Source organism: Homo sapiens, chromosome 2 (assembly GCF_000001405.40).
Source record: "Homo sapiens chromosome 2, GRCh38.p14 Primary Assembly".
NCBI lineage: Eukaryota > Metazoa > Chordata > Mammalia > Primates > Hominidae > Homo > Homo sapiens.
The window spans coordinates 106,911,066-106,920,204 of NC_000002.12; the positions used below are offsets into that span (position 1 = coordinate 106,911,066).

The 9,139-nt window shown below is 41.1% G+C and overlaps 1 annotated feature.

Moving 5' to 3' along the window:
* Window positions 8,144–8,678: an enhancer, noted in NCBI's record as "OCT4-NANOG hESC enhancer chr2:107535665-107536199 (GRCh37/hg19 assembly coordinates)". NCBI's record gives its function as "activates a minimal SCP1, AML or CMV promoter by ChIP-STARR-seq in primed H9 embryonic stem cells {active_cell/tissue: H9 hESC(primed)}" and the evidence as "EXISTENCE:reporter gene assay evidence [ECO:0000049][PMID:30033119]".

Consider the following 9,139-nt stretch of genomic DNA (forward strand, 5'->3'; position numbering starts at 1 on the left):
GCCAAACTAAGCTTCATAAGTGAAGGAGAAATAAAATCCTTTACAGACAAGCAAATGCTGAGAGATTTTGTCACCACCAGGCCTGCCTTACAAGAGCTCCTGAAGGAAGCACTAAACATGGAAAGAAAAAGCCAGTACCAGCCACTGCAAAAACATGCCAAATTGTAAAGACCATCAATGCTAGGAAGAAACTACATCGATTAACAAGCAAAATAACCAGCTAACATCATAATGACAGGATCAAATTCACACATAACAATATTAACCTTAAATGTAAATGGGCTAAATGCTCCAATTAGAAGGCAAAGACTGGCAAATTGGATAAAGTGTCAAGACCCATCATTGTTCTGTATTCAGGAGATCCGTCTCACATGCAGAGACACACATAGGCTCAAAATAAAGGGATAGAAGAAGATCTACCAAGCAAATGGAAAACAAAAAAAAGCAGGGGTTGCAATCTTAGTCTCTGATAAAACAGACTTTAAACCAACAAACATCAAAAGAGACAAGGCCATTACATAATGGTAAAGGGATCAATTCAACAAGAAGAGCTTACTATCCTAAATATATATGCACCCAATACAGGAGCACCCAGATTCATAAAGCAAGTCCTTAGAGACCTACAAAGAGACTTAGACTCCCACACAGTAATAATGGGAGACTTTAACACCCCCACTGTCAACATTAGACAGATCCACTAGTCAGAAAGTTAACAAGGATATCTAGGAATTGAACTCAGCTCTGCACCAAGCGGACCTAATAGACATCTACAGAACTCTCCACCCCAAATCAACTGAATATACATTCTTCTCAGCACCACATTGCACTTATGCCAAAATTGACCACATAGTTGGAAGTAAAGCACTCCTCAGCAAATGTAAAAGAACAGAAATTATAACAAACTGTCTCTCTGACCACAGTGTAATCAAACTAGAACTCAGGATTAAGAAACTCACTAAAAACCACTCAACTACATGGAAACTGAACAACCTGCTCCTGAATGACTACTGGGTACAAAACAAAACGAAGGCAGAAATAAAGATGTTCTTTGAAACCAATAACAATGAAGACACAACATACCAGAATCTCTGGGACACATTTAAAGCAGTTTGTAGAGGGAAATTTATAGCACTAAATGCCCCCAAGAGAAAGCAGGAAAGATCTAAAATTGGCACCCTAACATCACAATGAAAAGAACTAGAGAAGCAAGAGCAAACACATTCAAAAGCTAGCAGAAGGCAAGAAATAACTAAAATCAGAGCAGAACTGAAGGAGATAGAGACACAAAAACCCTTCAAAAAATCAGTGAATCCAGGAGCAGGTTTTTTGTAAATATCAACAAAATTGATAGACCGCTGGCAAGACTAATAAAGAAGAAAAGAGAGAAGAATCAAATAGACACAATAAAAAATGATAAAGGGGATATCACCACTGATCCCACAGAAATACAAACTACCATCAGAGAATACTATAAACACCTCTATGCAAATAAACTAGAAAATTTAGAAGAAATGGATAAATTCCTGTACACATACACCCTCCCAAGACTAATCCAGGAAGAAGTTGAATCCCTGAATAGACCAATCACAGGCTCTGAAATTGAGGCAATAATTAATAGCCTACCAACCAAAAAAAGTCCAGGACCAGATAGATTCACATCCAATTTCTACCAGAGGTATAAAGAGGAGCTGGTACCATTCCTTCTGAAACTATTCCAATCAATAGAAAAGAAGTGAATCCTCCCTAATTCATTTTATGAGGCCAACATCATCCTGATACCAAAGCCTGGCAGAGACACAACAAAAAAGAGACCAATATCCCTGATGAACATCGATGTAAAAATCCCCAATAAAATACTGGCAAACAGGATCCAGCAGCACATCAAAAAGCATATCCACCACGATCAAGTGGGCTTCATCCCTGGGATGCAAGTGTGGTTCAACATACGCAAATCAATAGACGTAATCCATCATATAAACAGAACCAAAGACAAAACCACACGATTATCTCAACAGATGTAGAAAAGGCCTTCGACAAGATTCAACAGTCCTTCATGCTAAAAACTCTCAATAAACTAAGTATTGATGGGATGTATCTCAAAATAATAAGAGCTATCTATGACAAACCCACAGCCAATATCATACTGAATGGGCAAAAACTGGAAGCATTCCCTTTGAAAACTGGCACAAGACAGGGATGCCCTCTCTCACCACTCCTATTCAACATTGTGTTGCAAGTTCTGGCCAGGGCAATCAGGCAGAAGAAAGAAATAAAGGGTATTCAATTAGGAAAAGAGGAAGTCAAATTGCCCCTGTTTGCAGATGACATGAAACCTAAATGCAATGGGTGTAACTGAATCCCAGGGTGGCAAGGGCCAAGTGGGGGCTGCACTCAACCATCAAAGGCAAGGTGAGCATGATTAAGGCAACGGACAGTAGAGTCAAGGCAGCAAGCAGAAGGGTTTGACTACTGCAGACTTAGGGCATGGGCTAGCTGATGATGGTGTTCCTAGAACCAAAATAGATAGCAAGCCTACTAAATGTTTACTTGATCTGTATAAGCAGAAAGTTCTAGGTCAAGTGAACAAAAGTCTAACCTAAACTATAAAAATAGAAGTCACTCAATTGATTACAGACTTGAGTCAGTTTACAGACCTAGAACCTCTTGGATGAAGGGGAGGCTGCGTTGCATCCTGTTGAGGAAGGACCCTTATATACCACCAAACATTTATATTGTTAATCTTTCTCCTATCTTTCTTTCAGTTTTTTATTAGGGTAACAGTGCATTGGCGAAAAGGAAATAATCAGTTATTTTGGGAGCTGCTGGACCCTGGCTCTGAACTGACACTAATTCTAGGAGACCCAAGCATCACTATGGTCTATCATTCAGAGCAGGGGCTTACGGAGGTCAGGGGATCAATGCAGTTTTAGCTCAGATATATTTCAGCGTAGGCCCAATGGGTCCCCAAATTCATCTTGTGGTTATTTCACCAGTTCTGGAAAGCATGATTTGAATACATTTAATCAGCAGCTGGCAGAATCCCCACATTGGTTCCCTGAGCTATGGTGTGAGGGTTATTACGATGGAAAAGGCCAAGTGGAAGCCACTAAAACAACCTCTGCCTAGAGAAATAGTAAACCAAAAGCAATATCACATTCCTGGAGGGTCTGTGGAGATTAGTGCCACCATCAAGGACTTGAAAGATGCAGGGGTGGTGATTTCCACCACATCCCCATGTAATTCTCCTATTTGGCCTATGCAGAAGACAGATGGATCTTGGAGAATGACAGTGGATTATTGTAAGCTTAACCAGGTGGTGACTCCAATTGCAGCTGCTACGCCAGATGTGGTTACATTGTTTGAGCAAATTAACACATTTCCTGGTGCCGGATATGTAGCTATTGATCTGGCAAATCCCTTTTTCTTCATCCCTGTCCATAAGATCCACCATAAGCAGTTAGCCTTAGGGGTTTATCAGCTCGCTAGCCCTGTGTCATAAGTTAGTTCACAGAGATTATGATCACCTTTCCCTTCCCTGAGATATAACATTGTTCATGACATTGATGACATTATGCTGACTGGACCTAGTGAGCAAGAAGTAGCAACTACTCTAGACAAATTGGTGAGATATTTGCATGCTGAAGGATGCAAAATAAATCTGATAAAAATTCAGAGGGCTTCTACCTCAGTGAAATTTCTGGAGGTCCAGTGGTGTGGGGCACCTTGAGATATCCCCTCTAAGGTAAATGATAAGTTGTTGCATCTGGCCCCTCTAAAACACACACACACACACACACACACACACACACACACACACACACACAGACAAACAATAGGCACAAAGCCTAGGGAGCCTCTTGGGATTTTGAAAGCAATGTAATTCTCATTTAGATATGTTGCTGTGGCCCTTTTATTGAGTGAACCAGAAAGTTGCTAGTGTTTGCTAGTGGGTCACTAGGGGTAATGGTGAGCGGTGGGACCCAGAACAGAAGAAAGCTGTACAACAGGTCCAGGCTGCTGTACAAGTTGCTCTACTGCTTGGGCCATATGATCCAGCAGATCCAGTGGTGGTTGAAGCATCAGTAGCAGATAGGCAGGCTGTTTGGCACCTTTGGCAGGTCCCTAAAGGTGAATCACAGTGCACAGATAACTATTCTTCTATTGAGAAGCAGCTCTTGGCTTGCTACTGGGCCTTAGTGGAGACTGAACATTTAACCATTGACCATGGAGTTACTATGGGACATGTCCTGCCCATCATGAACCAGTGCAATCTGATCCACTAAGCCATTAAGTTTGACAGGCACAGCAACAGTCAAATAGAAGTGGTATATATAAGGCTGAACTCAAGCAGGCCCTGAAGGCACAGGTAATTTACATGAAAAAGTAGCCCAAGTACCCATGGCCCCACTCCTGCTATACTGCCCTCACTCTCCTAACCTGCATCTATGGCCTCATGGGAGTTCTTTTGGATCCATTTGCAGAGGAAGAGAGGACTCAGGCTTGGTTTACAGATGGGGCTTCACAACATACGGGCACCAACTGGAAGTGGAAAACTGTAGCACTACAGCCTGTCTCTGGGACGTTCCTGAACAGTGGTGAAGGAAAATTCTCCCAGTGGGCAGAACTTTGAGCAGTGCGCCTGATTGCTCACTTTGCTTGGAAAGAGAAAGAACCAAAAGTACAATTATGTGCTAATTCATGGGCTGTGGCCAGTGGTTTGGCTGGATGGTCAAGAATTTGGAAAGAACGTGATTAGAAAACTTGGCAACAAAGAAATTTCAAAAAGAGCTATATGGATAGATGTCTCTGAATTTGGCAAAAATATGGAGACATTTGCGTGCCATGACTTCAGCCGAGGATTTTAATAAAGTGGATAGGACAACCCATTCTGTGGATACCAGTCAGCCTCTTTCTCCAGCCACTCTAGTCATCACTCAATGAGCTCATGAAAAAAGTGGCCATGGTGGCAGGGGTGGAGATGATGCATGGACTCAGCGACATGGACTTTCATTTACCAAGGCCAGTCTGGCTATGGCCACCACTGAGTGCCCAATCTGCCAGCAAAAGTGATCACACTGAGTCCCTCACATGGCACCATTCCTTGGGGTGATCAGCCACATACTTGGTGGTGGATTGATTACGTTGGACCATTTCATCATGTAAGGGGCAGCAATTTGCCCTTATTGGATTCAATATTTATTCTGGATAAAGATTTGCCTTCCTTGTATGCACTGCTTTGGCCAAAACTACCATCCGTGGACTTACAAAATGCCGTATCTGCTGTCATGGTATTCCACCCAGCATTGCTTCTGATAAATGACTGAGTTCACAGCAAAAGAAGTGTAGTGATGGGCCCAAGCTCATGGAATCTACCAGTCTCACCATGTTCTCTGCCATCCTGAAACAGCTGGTTTGATAGCATGTTGGCATGGCCTTTTGAAGACTCAGTATGGTGCCAGCAAGGTGGCAATGCCTTGCAGGGCTGGAGCAATATTGTCCAGGAGGCTGTGTATGCTCTGAATCGGCAACAATGTATCATCCTGTTTCTCTCATATCCAAGATTCACAGGTCTAGAAATCAAGGGACAGAAATGGGAGTAGCACCACTCGCCATTACCCCTAGTAACCCACTAGCAAAATTTTTGCCTTCTCTCCTCATGACTTTATTCTCTGCTGATCTAGAGAACTTATTTCCAAAGGAAGAAATCCTTCCACCAGGAAACACAAAAATGATTCCACTGAACTGGAAGTTGACTGCCAGCCAGCCACTTTGGACTCCTTATACCTCTCAATTAGCAGGCAAAGAAGAAAGTTACTGCGCTCACAGGAGGGACTGATCCTGACTACTCCACAGTGGAGGTTAGGAAGAACATGTCTGGAGTTCAGGAGATCCCCTAGGGCATCTCTGAGTATCGCAATGCCTTGTGATTAAAATCAGTAGGAATTGACAATAGCCCAATTCAGAATCCGAATGGACCAGACTTTTCAGGAGTGAAGGTTTGAGTCACCCCACCAGCTAAAGCACCATGGCCAGCTGAGGTGCTTGCTGAAGGTAAAGAGAATATGAAATGCCAGTCTGAGCAACACAGTGAGATCCTGGCTCTACAAAAACTACAAAAATTAGCCAGGCATGGTGGTGTGTGCCTGTAATCCCAGCTACTCAGGAGGCTGAAGTGGGGGGAACATTTGAACCCAGGAGGTAGAGGTTGCAGTGAGCCGCGATCATGCTACTCCACTCTAGCCTGGGTGACAGAGGAAAACCCTGTCTCAAAAAAAAAAAAAAAAGAGAGAGAGAGAGAAAGAGAATATGAAATGAATAGTGGAAGAATGTGGTATGAATACCATCTATGTATAAGTAATCTTTTACAAAAATGAGGACTGTAATTTTTATGAGTAGGTTCTCTGTATTTTGTTATAAATGTGTGTGTGTGTGTGTTTGTGTGTGTGTGTGTATACAGTCATGTGTTGTTTAATGAGGGAGTATGTTCTGAGAAATGCATTGTTGGGCAATTTTGTCATTGTGTGAACATCATAGAGTGAACTTAGACACATGTAGATGGTACAGCCTGTTATACACCTAGGCTACGTGGTATAGTCTATTGCTCCCATGCTACAAACCTGTACAGCATGTTACTGTACTAAATACTGTAGGCAACTGTAACACAATGGGAAGTATATGGTAATCTTATGGGACCATCATTATATGTGTGGCTCATCACTGACTGAAACAGAATTATGTGGCACATGAGTATATACATATACATACATATATAACAAATACCTTTGTTTTCTCCCCTCTCTTTTCCCCTTATCCGGTAACATAAGTTGTATTGGCTTTTTATCATAGTATATAAGTTATAAGATATCGAGAAGAGTAAACATCATCAAGAACATCAAAAAAGGACTTTTAATCCTTTTTGAGGAAAGCAGTTAGTGCACTCAGGGTAGGTTGAAGTATGACCGTTTTTGTGTTTATTAGGAGGTTACGTGCGGTTTAAAGAGATGCATGTGAGTGCCAAGTTGACAAGTTTAGACTTGTAGTGGATAATTTTCTGTGTCAACTTGGAGGGTGTTTTTGGATGAGGTTAATACTTAAATAAGTGAACTTTAAATAACCAAATTGTCCTCCACAATGTGTGTCAGTCTTATCCAATCAGTTGGAGGCTTGAATAGAAAAATAAAAAGATACCTCCCCCTCCCCCCAGCAAGGGGAAATTCTCTATCAGATTGCCTTCAGACTGGAAGCTCATCATTGGCTCCTCTGAGTTTCCACCGTATTGGCCCAGACTGCATATGTTGTAACCCCCTGCCTTCATAATCATGTAAGGCAATTCTTTCTAATAAGTCTCGATGCACATCCCCATTTTTCTGTTTCACTGGAGAATCCTGACTAATAGGCCAGATGACTCGAACGTCAGGAGAAATTTAATAGTCAATAGTTGAAAACAATTATGGTCAGTCCATTCTTCTTACCAGAGATGGCTGTAGGAATGCAAATATATTTCTGCCCATTCCTACAGCAATCACGGATAAGAGAAATAGAATAACGATAATTGCAAAATTTAAAACTATAAAACTTCTGAAAGATAACAGGAGAAAATCGAGGTGGCCTTGCGTTTCTTGTTGACTTTTTAGATACAACACCAAAAGCATGATATGTGAAATTTAAAAAAATGAATAAGTTGGATTTGATTAAAATGAAAAAGTTTAGCTCTGTGAAAGACACTGTAAAGAGAATGAGAAGACATCCATGGCCTGGGAGAAAATCTCTGCAAAACACATATCAGATGAAGGATGGGTATCCAAAATATTCATAGAACTCTTAAAACTCAGCAATAAAAGAACAAACAACCCAACTTTTAAATGGGCCTAACATCTGAACAGAATTCAATACTGATAGTAGCGGTGCTGGGACTCTCTAAAAAGCATTCCTTCATTATTAAAAGGTGGCATGAAGAAGGACCATTCTCTTTCTAGGTCTTGGATGTTGCTATGTGAAGATAGGATGCTTCACCTTGCTTCAGCCTTCTTGCAGCCGTGGAAGGGACAAGTGAGGTGGTAAAAGTCAAATAGCAGAACAAGAAGTGGAGGAAACCTGAGTCCTTGGGGCAGTTGTGATTCTCAGCCAATTGTCAAACTTCTTTGCACCTGGACTTCTCATTTTATGGCATAGTAAATCTGTTTATTGTTTAAGCTAAATGGCTCAAAGCATTCTGACTCAGTTTTTTTTTTTTAATTGCTTGTGCTGCTTGGATTTTAACAGTTAAGTTAGAAAAGCATTATAATTGTCACACAGCAGCAGGTTCAGAGATGGTGCCCTGGGTTTACTTTCAACCCCCAAATCCTCTTTGGTGAAACGATTCTGGGCACAATTCTCTCACCATTCTCCTGATTTATTTACAAATGAGGACACTGGATGATATTGTTAACCTTTGGTGATGCTAACTAAAGTTCTTTACTTGGCCTTGATTTACTTGCTAACTAAAGTACTTTACTTGGCCCGGTTGATGATAGTGAGCTGAAATAGTCTACCTTTTCCAGGTAAACAAGCCCACATGAATTCCTGTTCTCAGCTTTATGTGAATCGTGAAAAATGTGAGGATGACATAAATACCTGAAAGTCATTTTCGCTTAGTGTAAATCTGAAAGGGAAGTCAGGGCACTATAATGAAATATGCTTTTTTTTTTTCTAAAAGGTCAAACAAAAAGATCTCATCCTTAAAAAGAAGGAACTTATATTAATATATTATAGTGTAAGACACATGCACAGTAAATATTAGAGCACTGCCTGCTAACATTTAAAAATGTATGAGTTGTCAAGATCATGGTGAGTAAAGTAAGAACAAAAATCCCTCTCTTCTGTTGATTTTCCTGTGTCTTTTTTCAATTTATTCAGTACTGTTAATAATTGAGTAAAGGAGCTCTTACTGCTGAGCTGTATGAGGACAGGGAGAGGAAGGAGAGATGAGATGAAATTATGTGTGGTCATGAGATTGCTCGTAGATGCATTTATATGTAGTACCCTTGAAAACAACCCATAGCAAATGTCCAGGACCCAAAGGGACAGAGGCTCAGTCTGATGAGACACAAATGGAGCACCTTTGAGGAGTCCTTCTTCTAACTTGGTGTACTTTAATCTT